The sequence below is a fragment of the Homo sapiens genome, chromosome 22 (genome assembly GCF_000001405.40).
Source record: "Homo sapiens chromosome 22, GRCh38.p14 Primary Assembly".
In the NCBI taxonomy this organism is placed as follows: Eukaryota; Metazoa; Chordata; class Mammalia; order Primates; family Hominidae; genus Homo; species Homo sapiens.
Window position 1 is genome coordinate 38,981,783 of NC_000022.11, and position 17,934 is coordinate 38,999,716.

A 17,934-nucleotide genomic window follows, 5' to 3' on the forward strand; every position below is an offset into this window, starting at 1 on the left:
GTCGCAGACATCGCAGTCCCTCTGAGGGGCTGACCTGCCCCCCACCTTCTGGAAGCTGGGAGGTTGGAAGAGGGGACGCATGCCATGGACCCAGCACACAGCTGGGAACTCGAGGCACACCTAAGCCTTCCCTTGTGCTGTGCGGAGTCCACACTTCCTTCCCCACTGGAGTCTCAAAACCTCCCCTCACTCAACAGGGTGGTGCTGCTCAAAGCTCTGGGCACACATTAGGGCTGGGGAGGGGGTGGTGGAGAGGGGGCTCCAGCCTGCCCAACCACCAGGCAACGGGGCACCTGCCCCTCTCTCAGCTGGGTCTGGACCCGCCTCCCAGGCTCAGGCTGCAATGCCTTTCTCTTTCTCTTTGCAATTCCGTTGGGTCCTGCCCAGGACAGATAAAGACAGAGCAGCCTGTCTTTATTGGAGGTTCCTCTGCCAGCGGGAAGGGTCCGGGGAAAACCAGAGCCAGAGCCAGAGCCAGAGAAACATGAAGCACCCCGGGGCCTCCCACACCAATGCCTGAGCAGGAATGGGGAGGGGCCATGACTCATAAGGCCCTGGGAGGTCACTTTAAGGAGGGCTGTCCAACTGCAAGGACGCTGTAAGCAGGAAGTGAAACCACAGAGCTTCAAAAAAAGAGCGGGACAGGGACAAGCGTATCTAAGAGGCTGAACATGAATCCACAGATCAGGTACCGCTGCCCACTCTGCCTGCTGGGCCCCTCCTGCCCCTTCCTGCCTGGTGGTCCTGCTGGGCCTCAACCCTGGCCTCCCCCCGCCCCTGCCCCAGCCCTGGGCTCCCTCCCCTCTGGCTCCCCTGCCACACGAATCCCAGTCAGGCTCTTTGTCCTGCTGTGTGGTCACCCCACTGCTGCTTCTGAATGGGCTGCCTCCCCTACCTGCACCAGCCCAGGCCCCGTGCTGAGACTCTCCCTTAAAGTCATGCCCGGACTGGTGCTCCCCGCCCTGGGAGGGTGCTCCCTCTGTGTGCTTCCTGCCACTCCTGAGCTCAGAAACTGGGAGAATTGAACCAAAGGGTAATTGGAGCAATCAGGCATTTTTGTTCTCAGTGTTTTGATGAAATTTCTGTAAGAATTACTTTGCTTAAATACAAAGTCTTAGGAGAGGGTGCGGGGGTAGGAATGGTCTCTGAAGCACATGATAAATCGTGTCATCCAAGGATGACTCCATGGTGAGCAGATGTCCCCAGACAGGTTCCACTCCAAGGTCACTCTTCATCTTTTAGAACATGACCAGTGGTTGAGCGTGGTGGCTCACACTTGTAATCCCAACACTTTGGGAGGCCAAGGCGGGCGGATCATGAGGTCGGGAGTTTGAGACCAACCTGGCCCATATGGTGAAACCCCGTCTCTACTAAAAAACATACAAAAATTAGCCAGGCATGGTGGCGCATCTCTAGTCCCAGATACTCAGGAGGTTTAGGCAGGAGAATTGCTTGAACCTGGGAGGTGGAGGTTGCAGTGAGCTGAGATCATGCCACTGCACTCCAGCCTGGGCGACAGAGTGAGACTTCATCAAAAAAAAAAAGAAAGAACATGATCAGTAACATGGAATGTGAGAATGTGGGAAAAAAGTGCAATGATGAGGAGAAATGCTCTGATTTTAAAATTTAGTGAAAAGAGAGCCCAGTCCCCAACAGCTTTCTCCTACAGGATCCGTGATGCAGAGGCTGGACAGGGCTGGCCTGGAAAGGGGCCCCTGCTCCATCCGTCCCCAGCTCTGTGGCCTCGGCAGGTTACCCCGCCTCTCTGTGCCTCTGGCATCTCCTCTGTAAGATGGGAATGGCCCCTGCAGGCCTAGGGTAGCCTCACGTGAGCTCACACCCGCTCAGCACTTAGAAGAGTGGCCTGGGCCTCAGAATTCAGTTCTACCATGATTTTAAAATAATGTTAACACGCAGAGTGAAACATCAGGAAGGAATTGAGCTGAAAGGTTAAAAGCTATTTTTTAGGGGTGAAGGGTTTTATTCTCTTTTGCATTCTCCTAATGGGTTGGGGAGTGGGTTGGCAGAAATACTAGGAGGGTGGGGAATGTACCCCTGGAAAGGCCAGAGTTGGACCCGAGCTGGGAGAGATCACCCCAGCCCGCCTGCCAGCATCCCCTCCTCTTCCTCTCCCCTCAGTCTTCCTGCCTGGGAAGGCAGCAGAAATTCTCAGGGCTGTGGAGGGGTCGGGGAGGCCCAGGGCCATCCTGGGAGCTGTGTTCAGTGGACATGAGCCCCGAGGACTCCCGGGAGGGCTCCCTGCATGGGCCGGTTTCTCTCTTGTGCCTTCAGAAATCCGATGGAGCGGATGTATCGAGACACATTCTACGACAACTTTGAAAACGAACCCATCCTCTATGGTCGGAGCTACACTTGGCTGTGCTATGAAGTGAAAATAAAGAGGGGCCGCTCAAATCTCCTTTGGGACACAGGGGTCTTTCGAGGCCAGGTACCACCCAAACTTCAATCGAATCACAGGCAGTGTTGCAGGAATTAGAGGACTGGAGAGACTGATATGGGTGAGACAGGAGGATTTATTTAGGTGCACTGGTTCAGCAGACTCACATCCAAAAAGGCTGAGCCCTTAACAAAGACAGACTGAGGTATTTATAAGCAAACTTACAGAAGCAGAACAAAGGCGATTAATCAAACAGTGACAGGTCACATAATCTATAGCATAACAGATGACTTAGCATAACTTGGGGCCTTCTATAGCTGGTGGCCTTGCAGCTACATCAAAAGGAAAACAGGAACTGGCTAAATACAGACATTTGTAAAATATAGTTATAATGGTTCTGGAAAGGAGAGACAGTAAAGGAATTTGTCTTTTTTTTAAAAAATTTTTTTAAAATTTTCTTCAACCTTGCCCTGGAGGGGTGTGGGGGTGGTGTCTGGAGCCCATTCCTTTGGCCTTGACTTTTCAGGCAGTGTTATAACTGTCGTTGGAGTGAGCTGGCTAGGCAGAGGAAAACTTGTTCTTCTTTTCTTTTTAACCCTTGCTACAGTAGGACCTAAGCAGCTGGAAATGCAGAAAACACAACAATAAGTAAAATGCCCAGCACTGGGCTCTCAATTGTGTATTTTTCCCACATTTCTTTTTTCTCTTTTTTTCCTTTTTTTTTTTTTTTTTTTTTTCCGAGATGGAGTCTCGCTCTGGCACCCAGGTTGGAGTGCAATTGCACAATCTTGGCTCACTACAACCTCCACCTCTCAGGTTCAAGTGATTCTTCGGCCTTAGCCTCCCGAATAGCTGGGATTACAGAAGGCTGCCACCACGCCCAGTTAATTTTTTCTATTTTTAGTTGAGACTGGGTTTCACCATGTTGGCCAGGCTGGGGAATTCCTGACCTCAGGTGAGTCACCTGCCTTGGCCTCCCAAAGTGCTGGGGTTACAAGCATGAGTCACCGCACCTGGCCACTTCCCACAGTTCTGTTTTTTTGTTTTGTTTTGTTTTGGTTTTTTTTTAAGACTGAGTTTCACTCTTTGTTGCCTGGGCTGGAGTGCAATGACTCACTCTCAACTTCCACCTGCCAGGTTCAAGTGATTCTCCTGCCTCAGCCTGTGAGCTGAACAGTCACATGAGGGTGAAGGTTGTTGCCACAAGCTCAGGGGATGCTCCAGACAGAGTGGCCTGGGATGTCGAGTCACAGCTGCTCCATGCCACGGGGACAAGAGGAAGCAGGAGTTTAGTCTGACACACTGCCCTTCCAGATAGAGGGCAAGAGACAGAAAGAGGGGCTGAAGTCACCCTTGAATAACCACAGCAGTGGCACCCACAAAGGTGCAGTCCCCACAGCCTCATAGCCTCTTCTAGGTGCCACCTCTTAAGGCCATTACAATAGCCATTAACACTGAACGTGAGCTTTGGAGCAGACAATCACTCAAACTAAACAGGGGGGATGGAGGAAAGGAGCTTCAATGGCAAGATCCCCTGGGCTCCTGTCCTGGCCCCTCCTCTCCCTGCCCCACCCCTGCACTCCTCCTGCTCCCCCTCTCAGAGCATCCCCTGCCCCCTGCTCCTCTCCCAGGTGTATTTCAAGCCTCAGTACCACGCAGAAATGTGCTTCCTCTCTTGGTTCTGTGGCAACCAGCTGCCTGCTTACAAGTGTTTCCAGATCACCTGGTTTGTATCCTGGACCCCCTGCCCGGACTGTGTGGCGAAGCTGGCCGAATTCCTGTCTGAGCACCCCAATGTCACCCTGACCATCTCTGCCGCCCGCCTCTACTACTACTGGGAAAGAGATTACCGAAGGGCGCTCTGCAGGCTGAGTCAGGCAGGAGCCCGCGTGACGATCATGGACTATGAAGGTGAGAGGTGGAGGGGTCAGGGGAGCGTGAGCGGGAGGAACAGCATGAAAGATGGATGGATCTGCAATGCCATGGCTGGGGGTGTCCCAGGGCAGCCTGCAGGGGTGGGACTGGCACTGACTGCAACTGACAGCCAGGAGACCAGGCCTGGGAGGACAGGCCAGGGTCAGGGGAGAGCCTGACTGCTTCCCGCTTCTTCATCTCAGAATTTGCATACTGCTGGGAAAACTTTGTGTACAATGAAGGTCAGCAATTCATGCCTTGGTACAAATTCGATGAAAATTATGCATTCCTGCACCGCACGCTAAAGGAGATTCTCAGGTGAGGGTCTCCCTCTGGCCTCATCATCTCTCTCCTCTCACCTGCTCATCCTCCTGAGGCCTCCGTTGGCCTGGCCCTCCCGCCCTCCCTCTTGACCCACTGCCTGCCCTCATGGTCACACCACCTTCCCTTAACTCCTGGTGCTCCCTCCACACTGCCTCCTCCCTGCTTTCCTGGGCCCTTCCTGTGAGTAAGAGGCCCCTTCTGCCTCTAAGGCACCTGGGTCTTGGACTAGAGGAACAAACAGCAAGACAGGGTGGCCTGGGACACCAGCCGCTGCCCTTCTGTGACATGGGGACAAGAGGAGGCAAGAGCTCAGCCTTCCAGGGAACAACTCTGGGCAGGAGATGTGGAAGGAAGGAGCTCAGTGTGGGGGCACCCATGGCATCCTGGGGGGACATCTGAGGGCCACCCCCACCCGCTATTCCTCCCTCCAATGGTGGCCTCTGAGTGTGAAGGCATGGGGGAAGGCAGACACCTGCCCCTGACTCTCCCTCACTACCACATAGCTGCTGGGTGGCTGGGGACGGGGGGGGTCCCTGGGATGATTCCTGAGGGCAGGATCCAGGGGTCCCTCCAGATGTCCTCCCATCCAGGTGAGAAAGCAGCATAAAGTGAGGCTTGCACTCAGATGGGCCTGGGAGGTCACTCACAGCGCAGGTGTCTCCTGGAACAAGGGCCCTGGAAGATAGAAATAGAATCCAAACCCAGGACTAACATCAGGGCCAAGACAAGCCTGCCAGGGAGGCTGCACATGAAGCCCCAGATCAGGGACCACTGCCCGCTCTGCCCATGGGGCCTCTGCTGCCCTTTCCTGCCTGGTGGTCCTGCTGGGCCTCAGCCCTGGCCTCCCCCTGTCCCAGCCCCAGCCCTGGGCTCTCTCCCCTCCTGTTCCTCTGCCACCCCCACTCCCAGCCAGGCTCTTTGCCCTGTTGTGTGGTCGCCCCACTGCTGCTTCTGAATGGGCCACCTCCCCCACCTGCCCCAGGCCAGACCCCCTGCTGAGACTCTTCCCTGAAAGTCACCGCTGGGCTGGTGCTCCCTGCCCTGGGAGGGTGCTCCCTGTATATGCTTCCCACCATTCCTGAGCTCTGGAACTGGGAGAATTGAACCAAAGGATGATTGGAGCAATCAGGCATTTTGTTCTTAGCATTTTGATGGAATTTCTGTAAGATTTACTTTGTTTCAACACAAAGTCTTAGGAGAGGGTGTGGGGGAGGAAATGGTCTCTGTACCAGAAAATAAGTCATTTCTTCCAAAGACGCCTCCGCTGTGAGCAGAGGAGGATGCACACGACCCCAGACACAGGCTCCTCCTCCGTGAGCACCATTCACCTTTTAGAATGACACCTGCAACATGGAGTGTAGGAAAACATATGATCAGGAGAAATGCTCTTATTTTAGGCAGGGCACGGTGGCTTATGCCTATAATCCTAGCTCTTTGGGAGGCTGAGGTGGGTGGATCACTTGAGGTCAGGAGTTGGAGATCTGCCTGGCCAGCGTGGCAAAACCTCCTCTCTACTGAAAATACAAAAAATGAGCCAGGCATGGTAGCGGGAGCCGGTAATCCCAGCTACTTGGGAGGCTGAAGCAGGAGAATCGCTTGAACCCGGGAGGGACAGCAGTGCTGGTCACGGAAACACCCAGGACTCAGGACTGAAGCACAAGTGTTTCCAGTCCCCACACACTAAAAAGGAGACAAGAACTCCTCTTCGAGCTTTTCTGATGAGCACTCACCTCTCACCCTCAAACCCCTGGGGCCTCTCTTTTCCTCCTGACCCTCTCTCTGGACCTGGCCTCTTGCTCTAGGTTCCCAGTTTTGGTCCCAGTGCTGGTCTCTCCTCCAATGGTACCAATTCCAGGTCTCCTTCCACCTCCTGGGGCAGATGCACAGGGAGCCTGAAAATCCCAGTGGATAATGATGCTGTGCCCCAGCCAGTGAAGACAGTTGGAGAGGGGATTCTCTTCACTTGTCTTTAAATGAGCATCTACTATTTCTTGCAAATGTTCCATGTCTCTGGACTTGGCCTAAGCCATTTTTATGTTCAGTGTCATCTCGTTCTCCCTAATATTTAGAAAAGGGTGTTGCTTGTAGGACCACTTTGCTATGAAGAAGCCTTGTTTCCTTTTCTTGAGAACACAAAGCAAGTGAGTGGTAGAGCCCAGATTCATACCCAGGTCTACTAGAAATTGTGGCAAACAGAGATTCCTTCCTTCCTTCCTCCCTTCCTTCCTTCCTTCCTTCCTTGCTTCCTCTCTCTTTCTCTCTTTCTCTTTCTTTCTTTCTTTCTTTCTTTCTTTCTTTCTTTCTTTCTTTCTTTCTTTCTTTCTTTCTTCCTTTCTTCTCTCTCGTCTTTCTTCTTTTGCTGCTGCCTCCAAACAGAGATTTTTCTAATTCTGGTTTTGTCAGGATGTCTACAGAGGGGCCGGGAGAGGCCTTCAAGGTGGGGCTGGTGTTTCCAGCCCAGGAGTCCTGAGCTGCCCCATCTGGCCTGAGAAGCACGTTTGGGAGACCTCATGGCATCCAAAGGGACGTGGAAAATGCTATGAATTATCCAAAAAGATGTCCCTGGCAGGCTCCTCTCCCCAATGATCCCCCTCAGGAGTGTCCCTGCCCCAATGCTGGGTGTGGTAGGAGTTAACCCTGCAGGCAGGAGGAAGCCCCAGCAGGTCCATCTCCAGCAGGGGCTGTGGGTGAGCAGAGCCAGGACAGGGGTGCATGGTGAGGCCAGGGAAGGAGACCCAGCTCTACCCCAGGGAGAGGGGCAGGGTCCTCCCCGGAGGGCCTGAGCACACTGAGCTGACCCTGGGGAGACCCTGACAAGGCCTAAACAGGCCCCGGGGCTGTGTTGACTTCCTGATAATCCACCAGAAGGGGTCAGAGAGAGAGGATCAGTGGCCCCCACAAAGGGAGTGGAAGCGCCTCCTCTGACAGGTGCCTCAGTATATGGGGAGCAGGGAAGGAGTGGGGGGTGCAGGAGAGGAGCGAGAGGTAGTCCCAGGAGGAGTCTTAGGGCTTTTGGTTTCCCCTGTCTTTGTCCACAGATACCTGATGGATCCAGACACATTCACTTTCAACTTTAATAATGACCCTTTGGTCCTTCGACGGCGCCAGACCTACTTGTGCTATGAGGTGGAGCGCCTGGACAATGGCACCTGGGTCCTGATGGACCAGCACATGGGCTTTCTATGCAACGAGGTGACCGACCCAGCCACCTGCATCCAGGCAGGGCCCTCCCAATCCAGGGACACTCATAGATAGAAGGTTCTGGGTGGTGCCTGTGGTTTCCTGCAGTGTTTGTCACTTGTGCTTCCTGCAGCTGCTGCTGCTTGGCCCTGGAGTTGGGGGGAGACTTTGGCTTCAGTGACTCTCCATGGCCAGGTGGGGTTGAGTCTGCCCAATGGCAAAGTGCTTCCTGAGGACCCTCCCAGGATCCCCTCACAGACACAGCTCTCACCAGGAATGATTCGGAACTGTGGGATTTGAGGACTCAGGGCCTACCTGACTCACAAGGCCAGGATGTCCCTGTGCCCTCTCTTGGGCTTCATCCTGCGGAGAGACAGACTGGGGCAGGAGAGGCTGATCAGGGGTTTTGTCCTGCCCAGGGTGGAGCCCACAGCAAGGCCAGAACAGGTCCCATGTCAGGATGCAAAGATGGCCAGCAGTTGGGGAAGAACTGGGCCAGGAAAGGCTGAGGGGGCCAGGCTAGGCTGGCCAGGAGCCCTGAGCCCAAGGGACTTTCTTCCCTGGCCCCTACCCAGCACAGCCTCTGTCTGGAGAGGCCAAGTTCTGCTTGGCTCTGTTGCTGGAAACTGGGGGCTTCTCTGGGCTCTATGAGCTCAATGTGGGCCTCGCTGGATCCACACACACTGCTTGGAACATCCTTTCAAGGGTGCCAGTCTCCATCACCGCCTAAGCAGTGGGACTCCCCCAGGAATGACCCACAGCCCCTTCTCAGCACAAACCATGTCATCCACTTCACCCTGCATCCCCTCTGATGGAATCCCTCCCTGTCTTTGTCCCCATCACAATCACAGTCCTTGCTGCCCTGCTGTCCCCAACTTGACCGATTCCTAGTCTTAGTGGAAAATCCTTTTCTCTGAAGTTTGGAGTAAATACCATATTTCTATAAGTCAAAATAATGACAATTATACCATGTCACAGGGACCTTCCCACATTGGAGTGAGTCCTGCTGGTCTTCTCTTCCCCACTACTTTTGGTGGAATTCATTTTGGCCTAAGTCTATATCACATTTGGGCTCAGCACAGGTTGTGGCACAGAATAGAAGTTTCTAGAATTATGGGCCACAGATGGGATGGGAGTAGGGGAGTTGATGAGTAGAGCAGGTCAATCTCCCCTTGAAGGAAGCACACTCACTCAGGGGCATCAGGCCAATGACCTTGGGGCTCCGCCGGCCCCTCCTCCCTGCCCCCATCTCTGTAGCCCCTCCCTGCAGGGCTGGGTCTGGGGTGAGGGTCCTGAAGGCTCTGACCTTGGGTACAAAATTGATGGGGGCTCCAAATGCTCAGTAATTAGAGAAAACACATTTTAATTTAATAATTAATGCAATATTTTAAAACGCAAATTTAATACAAATAGATCATGATGAATAAAAGCAAAGATTTTAATAAAGCCTGGCAGGAGAGTGCTGTCCTGTGTATATTGGAGCTGGGGCAAAATAAAACCTCATTGCTCCTGATCTGTTTGTATTTAAATGGGCAACATTTTGCTTATCTTGGGATTTTTGCATAACATCTGATATTTTTAATATTGCATAGAAAATCATGCATCCTAATAACCGGGGTTTTGGCGACCCCTCTAATTTCGTGCTGGAGGCCCCCGCCTCCCCAGCCCCACCTGGTCCAGGCGCTCCCTCCCTGTTCACCACACATCACCTCACACTCTGTTTCCTTTTCTAGGCTAAGAATCTTCTCTGTGGCTTTTACGGCCGCCATGCGGAGCTGCGCTTCTTGGACCTGGTTCCTTCTTTGCAGTTGGACCCGGCCCAGATCTACAGGGTCACTTGGTTCATCTCCTGGAGCCCCTGCTTCTCCTGGGGCTGTGCCGGGGAAGTGCGTGCGTTCCTTCAGGAGAACACACACGTGAGACTGCGCATCTTCGCTGCCCGCATCTATGATTACGACCCCCTATATAAGGAGGCGCTGCAAATGCTGCGGGATGCTGGGGCCCAAGTCTCCATCATGACCTACGATGGTAAGAATGGAAGGTTCAGGTGGGGTGGGGTGGGTGGGGGCAGGAGAGGTTCCTGGGAAGAAAAGGAGAAAGGCCTTGGTCTGCTGCCTGCAGAAACGATGGCTGGACTCTGGGACCTGACTTTGGGGTCGATGGGAAGAGAGAGGCCAGGCCAGGAGATATGGGCCCGGGGAGGGTGGCTGGAAGTGGAAGCAGAACTTGGGGATTTCCGAAAGAAAGAGAACTGGGCTGGCCCAGATTCCAATGGGAAGGAAGTACCTGATGAAGGAGCTAAGTCCCTAGGGGAGGGAGAGGGAAAGGAGGGACTGAAACCAGGATGTGGGAAGTCTGTCCTGAGAGTCATGGGCCCTTGGTGCTGCCCCCTCCCCACAACAGGAGCGTGACTTATCTCCCCTGTCCCTTTTCAGAGTTTGAGTACTGCTGGGACACCTTTGTGTACCGCCAGGGATGTCCCTTCCAGCCCTGGGATGGACTAGAGGAGCACAGCCAAGCCCTGAGTGGGAGGCTGCGGGCCATTCTCCAGGTGAGGGCTTCCTCCCTCTGCCTGGTGCCCCATCGGCCTCCCCCTCCTCCCCGCTCCCCTGTGCCTTGCCTTCCCCTCTGCTCAGAGCCTCCTCTGGGTTCCCTGCTCCCCACAGGGCGCCCAGCTCCGTCCCTCCCTTTCCTTCTCACAGCCTCCTTCTCTTTCCCACCTCCCGCATCCCTCCCTCCTCTCCCGTCATTGTCACTGTCCCCAGGCCACCTCCCTGTGCCCTCTTTCCACTCTCTCACCTCCTGCTCCATTCAACCCCCCTGCTCTTCCAGAATCAGGGAAACTGAAGGATGGGCCTCAGTCTCTAAGGAAGGCAGAGACCTGGGTTGAGCAGCAGAATAAAAGATCTTCTTCCAAGAAATGCAAACAGACCGTTCACCACCATCTCCAGCTGCTCACAGACACCAGCAAAGCAATGTGCTCCTGATCAAGTAGATTTTTTAAAAATCAGAGTCAATTAATTTTAATTGAAAATTTCTCTTATGTTCCAAGTGTACAAGAGTAAGATTATGCTCAATATTCCCAGAATAGTTTTCAATGTATTAATGAAGTGATTAATTGGCTCCATATTTAGACTAATAAAACATTAAGAATCTTCCATAATTGTTTCCACAAACACTAGCAAATGTGTAGATGTCTTTCCTTGTGTAGCGGACCTGTAGCTGGGAAAGGTCACACAACATCCCTCTGGATCCAGAAAACTCAGCTAAACCACACAGGAGAGGAACCTAAATGCAGACCCCACCCTCACTCACAGAGCCCCGCCCACCCTCACTCACAGAGCCCCGGGCGCTGATTGGAAGGGACAGGCCCAGCAGTAAGAGGACAGTCAGCAGCCAGTCTCCCTGTTGGAAAGGAACCACAAACGTGCAGTCAGGGGCCCTCGGGAGCCGCCCTGTGTCCACCCCTTCCTGATTCCACCCCCCTAGAGAGGGAGCCCAGGGGAGGCCATGGCTGAGACCCAGGACAGACCCAGTCGGGGGAAGGAGCCCAGGGAGGGGGCAGGTGTCTAGGCTGGGCCCAGAGAGAGGGCTGGGGAGAGGAGCAGCCCAGGAGGCAGAGCCCAGCCACAGAGGGGAGGGGAGCTGAGTCCCGGGGACAGGAAGCTCCAGAGGCAGAGACGGAGCCCAGGGCTAGGGCGGCAGGTGTCAGGGCTGTGGCTTCAGCTTGGCGTCTGTCCTGGGCCTTCTGCGCTGGTTCCCAACTCTGGGATGTGTTATTTATGTGCCTGATTACAGTGGCGGCTCCCACCTCACAATTTCTGGAAAGTCCTCAGAAGCCACGTATAAGACCAAGAAGGGGCCTCACATGCAGCTGCTCCTGGGCAGAAACGACTCACTGTTTCCCTGGCCTAGACACACACAACACACTAACACACACAAGACACACATACACACAACACACACAACACATACACACACAACACATGCACAAAACACATACACACACGCACCCACACACAGTGACAGAGACTTCACAAAAAGAAACCTCCTCCAGGTTCCCCAGAGCACCTGTCCCCGGACGGGGACTCCCTTGCATGAGACAGCTGGCCAAGGAGAGGACTCCCTTCTCCCCTGCCAGCTTTGTCACCTTCTACTTGTTTTTTTGTTTTTGTTTTGTTTTTGAGATGAAGTTTTGCTCTTGTTGCCAGGCTGGAGTGCAATGGTGTGATATCGGCACACCGCAACCTCCAGCTCCCGGGTTCAAGCGATTCTCCTGCCTCGGCCTCTGGAGTAGCTGGGATTACAGGCATGTGCCACCATGGCCAACTAATTTTGTATTTTTCATGGAGACAGGGTTTCTCCATGTTGGTCAGGCTGGTCTCGAACTCCCGACCTCAGGTGATCCGCCTGCCTCGGCCTCCCAAAGTGCTGGGATTACAGGCGTGAGCCACCAAGCCCAGCTCCTCTACTTGTTTTCTATGCTGTCTGGCTGGTGTCTCTTCTAGTCCAGGTCACCCAGCCCTCTCTCGCCTCAGACCACGGCACCTGCCATTCCCTCTCTGGACAAAGCTTCCCTCGGCTCTTCCCATTGCTATCCCTTCTCTTCCTCAGGATTCAGTTCCCAAGTCACCTCCCCTGGCCTCTTGAAGTGAGCTGCCCACACAGTTCCCTTCTGCCTCATCTCCATGTCTATTTCCTGCACTGTCCTTGTTACAAACTGGATTTATCTTCCCTGTGTGTAGATTCTCATTTCTTGACCATCTGCCTCCACTTCCCGGAAACGCACTGAGGTTGGAGTCTACCGCTTGCTGCCTGTGCCTTGACTGCCCAGCCTTGCCCCCTGGGTAGGAATCCATTTACAATTGTTGAAAGAAAAAAAATGAATGATTAAAAACAGTATAGACCTAGGGCAGTGGCTCACGCCTGTAATCTTAGCACTAGGAGGCAGGGGCAGGTGGATCATCTGAGGTCAGGAGTTTGAGACCAGCCTGGCCAACATGGTGAAACCCCGTCTCTACTAAAAATACAAAAATTAGCTGGGCGTGGTGGTGCATGCCTGTAATCCCAGGAGGATGAGGCAGGCTTGAACACAGGAGGTGGAGGTTGCAGTGAGCCTAGATCATGCCACTGCACTCCAGCCTGGGTGACAGAGCAAGACTCAACTCAAAAAAAAAAAAAATTAATTAAATTTTAAATATAGAATTTTTGTTTTTTTGTTTTGTTTTGTTTTTGACATGGAATCTCACTCTATTGCCTAGGCTGGAGTGCAGTGGTGCAATCTTGGCTCACTGCAACCTCCACCTTCTGAGTTCTAGCAATTCTCCTGCCTCAGCTTTCTGAGTAGCTGGGATTACAGGCATGCGCCACCCTACCCGGCTAATTTTTGTATTTTTAGGAGACACGGGGTTTCACTATGTTGGCCAGCCTGGTCTCAAACTCCTGACCTCAGGTGATCCACCTGCTTCAGCCTCCCATAGTGCTGGGATTACAGGCATGAGCCACTGCGCCCAGCCTATAGAATTTTTTTTAATTCTTAAGATTTAAATACGACAATATGCGAACACCAAAGTGTGTACTCCCCAACTTAAGAAATAGGCACAACACAACTCCTAGCCACCCCCCTCCCCATTCATCTGCAAAGTGAGTCTAGGGAGGTTCTTGTGATTCTTTGGCCCAATTTTTTTCCTGTCCAATACTTTTATAGCAGAGATGATAGAATGTAACAGTTAAAAGCATGGGCTGTGGATGCAGAATTCCTGGATTCAACTCCCGGCTCTTCCTCCTCCTACCTGTGTGACCCCCTATTGAGTGACTCACCCTCTCTGTGCCTTGGCTTGGAGCTCATTAAGGCAGGTAAAGTATTCAATGGATGGACCCAGCCACAGCCATGGCCAACAGGTAATAAATAGTGCTATGCTGGAAACTATCTTGTGCCCAGAAGTTGGAGTCCTGCGTCTTTCCTTATAGTATAGTTACAAACATTTCCCCACATCTTAGGAAAAGGCTTCAAAAGGCTGCATAATATACGTGTGATAGCCAGGTGTAGTGGCGCCTGCCTGTAATCCCAGCTACTCGGGAGGCTGAGGCAGGAGAATCACTTGAACCCGAGAGGCGGAGGTTGCAGTGAGCCGAGACTGCGCCATTGCACTCCAGCCTGGGCAACAAGAGCGAAACTTCATCTCAAAAAAATCCATGCCTGGAAAGCCCCTGATCTACAAGTTCTCACCAACCCCCAGTGGAGCACAGTTAGGTAGTTTTCAAATTTCCAGTATTGTCCATGAAGCTGCGATGTGGGGTTTCATAATTGCTTAGGCATTTTGGACAGATGGTCGTAGAACATTTCCTAAGAACTGAACAAAGCTTTTGATGCACTTAGCCAAACCCGCCTATGAAAATCTTCTTGGAGTTCACTGTCCCCACGGAAGGGTGTGAGGACCTGCCTCCTCACCCATCTCGCAGCTCCTCTGCATCTGGGCATCCCCAGTGAAACTGTGGCACTAGTTGGGGAAGAACAGAGCCAACCCAGGGGCCAGCAGGAGTCCAGCCCCAAACCAGGACCCGGCCACTGTTTTGGAACCAACTCCTTCAGTGTTACCCTACAACACCCTCGCCCCATGAAGGCTCCACCTCCAGCCCTGGGCTCGCCGGAGTTACCCAGTCAGACGATGCCATTTCTGCTCCCTCCTGAAAGAGGAAGTGTCCAGGATGAGAACTTCAGGCAAAGAGGTGCCTGTGGATGGGCAGTGGGAGAAGACTTGGAGACAGAGCATCTGTGGCTAAGGACAGGGAGATTTGGGGTGGTCATCACAAAGAGGAGGGCCTGAGGGAGGGAAGGCACCGTTCCTGGGGCTGAGAAGTGACCCCATCCCTGACTCTACACAAGGAAAAATGAGATGTGGCCTCGTGGACTAGGCTGGATTCGGGGCAGAAGGTCCTGGAGACCACCAGCAAAGAAAGCAAAAAGCTTTCCAGGCTCATCCCAGGTGGTCGGGGCCTCAGAGATGAACAAGTGCCTGCCAGGGCTGCAGGGCACCCGTCTGTGTCTTCCTTTCATCTCCCCTCTGACCTCTGGATGCCAGATGTCTCCAAAGGACTTCAACTTTTTTTTGTTTGTTTGTTTTTGTTTTTTGAGAGAGTCTCACTCTGTCACCCCCGCTGGAGTGCAATGGCACCATCTCAGCTCACTGCAACCTCTGCCTCCCGAGTTCGAGCGATTCTCCTGCCTCAGCCTCCTGAGTAGCTGGGATTACAGGTACGAACCACCATGCCCGGCTAATTTTTGTATTTTAGTAGATGGGGTTTCACCGTGTTGGCCAGGCAGGTCTCGAACTCCTGGCCTCAGGTGATCTGCCCGCCTCAGCCTCCCAAAGTGCTGGGATTACAAGTGTGAGCCACCGCGCCTGACCTGGACTTCAACTTTAACTATGAAAACCTACAGCTGGCCAAAGGGCGAGGGGAGACTTGCCTATCCTACCATGTAGAGTGATCAGATGGTGACACCCTGTCCTGCTGGACACCAGTGTCCTTCACAACCAGGTGTTAGCTGGGGATGGACACAGGAATCCCAGATTGGTAGGGAAAGGGGAGCCCCCCACAAGACCAGCTTTCTTCCTCCCATCAGGCTCAGACCAAACACATTGCACAACGCAGTTGCATGGAAGCCACAAAGATGGAAACCCAGGGCCTGGGGCCCTCTGGGAGGGACCTACACACGATCATAGCCCCCCCGACAATGCCTCGTGTGCCCAACACCAGCCCACCAGGTAGCTAGAGCCATTCCCTCTGGTCACTGGAGCAGAGCAGCCACCACAGCCTCCTGCAACACACCCTCCCATGCTGCGCCCACCCGCCTGGGCTCTCCCACCTCCCTTTGACCTACCTTGTTCCTGGGCACAGCCCCCTGTCCTGGCTGCAGATCTCAGGGTAACAGACCTCCACACAGCTGCTGATGCAGAAGTCCAGGCTGCAGTGCCCACAAGTGGATAGAGGAGGGGGTACGTGGGATGGAGGGGCTCACTATGGGTCCTCGTTGATTTCCCTACACTGTGATCTCCTGGAGGGAGGACCATGTGCCATCCATCCTTGCATCCCAGGTTCCTGCCTGAGCCGTGGCCCTGAGTGGGTGCTCTTGGGTTACTGTTGAAGGAATGAAGGAACTAGTATATGAATGAACCAGTTGTCCTTCCTTGCCTCCCCCCTTCCCTCCCTCCCTCCCTCCCTTCCTTCCCTCCCTTCATTGACCCTTCCTTCCCTCCCTCTCTCCCTCCCTCCTTCCCTTCCTTCCTTTCTTCCTTCCTTCCCTCCCTCCCTTCATTGACCCTTCCTTCCTTCCCTCCCTCCCTTCATTGACTCTTCCTTCCTTCCCTCCCTCTCTCCCTCCCACCTTCCCTCCCTCCCTCCCTCCTTCCTTCCTTCCCTCCCTATCTCCCTCCCTCCCTCCCTTCCTTCCTTCACCCTTCCCTCCTTCCCTCCCTATCAGGGGACCTGGTCCGATAATCATGTAGGTTCTTTTCTATTTTCTTAAGTGTCGGCTGGCTTGAGAAATAAAGGGACAGAGTACAAAAGAGAGAAATTTTAAAGCTGGGCTTCCGGGGGAGACATCACATGTTGGTAGGATCCGTGATGCCTCACAAGCCGCAAAAACCAGCAAGTTTTTATTAGGGATTTTCAAAAGGGGAGGGAGTGTGTGAATAGGTGTGGGTCACAGACATCAAGTACTTAACAGGGTAATAGAATATCACAAGGCAAGTGGAGGCAGGGCGAGATCACAGGACCTCAGGACTGAGGCAAAATTAAAATTGCTAATGAAGTTTCGGGCACCATTGTCATTGATAACATCTTATCAGGAGACAGGGTTTTAAGAGCAACCCGTCTGACCAAAATTTAGTAGGCGGGAATTTCCTCTTCCTAATAAGCCTGGGAGCGCTATGGGAGACTGGAGTCTATCTCACCTCTGTAATCTCGACCATAAGAGACAGGTACGCCCTGGGGGGGCCAGTTCAGAGACCTACCCCTAGGTGCGCATTCTCTTTCTCAGGGATGTTCCTTGCTGAGAAAAAGAATTCAGCGATATTTCTCCCATTTGCTTTTGAAAGAAGAGAAATATGGCTCTGTTCTGCCCGGCTCACCGGTGGTCAGAGTTTAAGGTTATCTCTCTTATTCCCTGAACAATTGCTGTTATCCTGTTCTTTTTTCAGGGTGCCCACATTTCATATTGCTCAAACACACATGCTGTACAATTTGTGCAGTTAATGCAATTATTACAGGGTCCTGAGGCGAAATACATCCTCCTCGGCTGACAGGATTAAGAGATTAAAGTAAAGACAGGCATAGGAAATCACAAGGGTATTGATTGGGGAAGTGATAAGTGTCCATGAAATCTTTACAATTTATGTTTAGAGATTGCAGTAAAGACAGGCATAAGAAATTACAAAAGTATTAATTTGGGGAACTAATAAATGTCCATAAAATCTTCACAATCCACGTTCTTCTGTCATGGCTTCAGCTGGTCCCTCCATTTGGGGTCCCTGACTTCCCACAACACCTCCCTCCCTTCCTTGACCCTTCCTTCCCTCCTTCCCTCCCTCCCTCCCTTCCTTTCTTCCTCCCTTCTTCCCTCCCTCCCTGCCTCCTTCCCTCCCTCCCTCCCTCCCTCCCTCCCTCCCTCTCAGGAGAGAGCAGCACACTGGAATGGCTGAGCTTGAGGACCCCCCATCTGGCTTGCACAGTCACCCAAACCACCACCCCTCCCCTTCCCTCCTCTTCTGCCTTGAGGAATCTGACTGTCTGGAAACTTGTTTCTCCTTCTCCATGAACATTCTAAAGCCACTGGCCATGCACTGGTGCTACCAGGTCACCTGGAGCATCTCCTGGAGCCCTTGTCCTTAATGTGCCCAGACAGTGAACAGCTTCCTGGCTGAGCATGTCAACGTCAACGAGAAGGCTTGAAGCCTGACCCCTCCACTGCCAACAGCCAGAAATTGCAGGAAATGAGGACCCTGCACCGGGCTGGTCAGCTGTCATGTGGGATGTCAGGGGGAGGCTTTGGGCTGAAGGGTGGTTGGGAGCCGGTGGGGAGAGTCCTTGGCTAGGACTGTAGGTGACACCAAGGACAA

At 53.2% G+C, this 17,934-nt stretch overlaps 1 protein-coding gene and 1 long non-coding RNA gene across 3 annotated transcripts, besides 5 other annotated features; one reads left to right on the forward strand and one right to left on the reverse strand.

The window, feature by feature from the left end:
• Positions 1–564: 564 nt before the first annotated feature.
• APOBEC3B (apolipoprotein B mRNA editing enzyme catalytic subunit 3B) lies at positions 565–10,997 on the forward strand. Of its 2 annotated transcripts, none has more exons than NM_004900.5 (8): positions 565–688; positions 2,293–2,449; positions 4,030–4,309; positions 4,516–4,630; positions 7,675–7,828; positions 9,550–9,844; positions 10,252–10,367; positions 10,649–10,997. In NM_004900.5, exons 1-8 carry the CDS (start codon positions 672–674, stop codon positions 10,661–10,663), a joined length of 1,149 nt encoding a protein of 382 aa, NP_004891.5. In that variant the 5' UTR covers positions 565–671; the 3' UTR covers positions 10,664–10,997. The 2 variants fall into 2 exon arrangements, with proteins under 2 accessions (NP_004891.5, NP_001257340.2); NM_001270411.2 differs by having other exon boundaries at positions 9,625–9,844.
• Positions 699–748: a silencer, noted in NCBI's record as "silent region_13737". NCBI's record gives its function as "represses an Ori minimal core promoter by ATAC-STARR-seq in GM12878 lymphoblastoid cells {active_cell/tissue: GM12878}" and the evidence as "EXISTENCE:reporter gene assay evidence [ECO:0000049][PMID:35858748]".
• Positions 2,947–4,146: an enhancer, noted in NCBI's record as "P300/CBP strongly-dependent group 1 enhancer chr22:39380734-39381933 (GRCh37/hg19 assembly coordinates)". NCBI's record gives its function as "activates an origin of replication core promoter dependent on BRD2, BRD4, P300/CBP, MED14 and CDK7 cofactors, with strong dependence on P300/CBP, by STARR-seq in HCT116 cells {active_cell/tissue: HCT116}" and the evidence as "EXISTENCE:reporter gene assay evidence [ECO:0000049][PMID:35650434]".
• Positions 3,189–3,478: an enhancer, noted in NCBI's record as "active region_19024". NCBI's record gives its function as "activates an Ori minimal core promoter by ATAC-STARR-seq in GM12878 lymphoblastoid cells {active_cell/tissue: GM12878}" and the evidence as "EXISTENCE:reporter gene assay evidence [ECO:0000049][PMID:35858748]".
• Positions 4,713–4,908: a silencer, noted in NCBI's record as "fragment chr22:39382500-39382695 (GRCh37/hg19 assembly coordinates)". NCBI's record gives its function as "represses an EF-1alpha promoter that drives an FKBP-Casp9 reporter gene in an ReSE screen in HepG2 liver carcinoma cells {active_cell/tissue: HepG2}" and the evidence as "EXISTENCE:reporter gene assay evidence [ECO:0000049][PMID:32094911]".
• APOBEC3B-AS1 (APOBEC3B antisense RNA 1) lies at positions 9,777–16,438 on the reverse strand. Its single transcript, NR_104187.1, has 5 exons — positions 16,304–16,438; positions 15,699–15,955; positions 11,156–11,221; positions 10,616–10,799; positions 9,777–9,836 (listed from the first exon to the last, which is right to left on the reverse strand). It is a non-coding gene; the product is annotated as an APOBEC3B antisense RNA 1 (long non-coding RNA).
• Positions 16,303–16,943: an enhancer, noted in NCBI's record as "OCT4-NANOG hESC enhancer chr22:39394090-39394730 (GRCh37/hg19 assembly coordinates)". NCBI's record gives its function as "activates a minimal SCP1, AML or CMV promoter by ChIP-STARR-seq in naive H9 embryonic stem cells {active_cell/tissue: H9 hESC(naive)}" and the evidence as "EXISTENCE:reporter gene assay evidence [ECO:0000049][PMID:30033119]".

Coding starts and splice junctions, on each gene's coding strand:
- APOBEC3B (NM_004900.5), top strand. Junction 4,631..7,674: donor ACGCTAAAGGAGATTCTCAG/GTGAGGGTCTCC, acceptor CTTTGTCCACAG/ATACCTGATGGATCCAGACA. Junction 7,829..9,549: donor TGGGCTTTCTATGCAACGAG/GTGACCGACCCA, acceptor TTCCTTTTCTAG/GCTAAGAATCTTCTCTGTGG.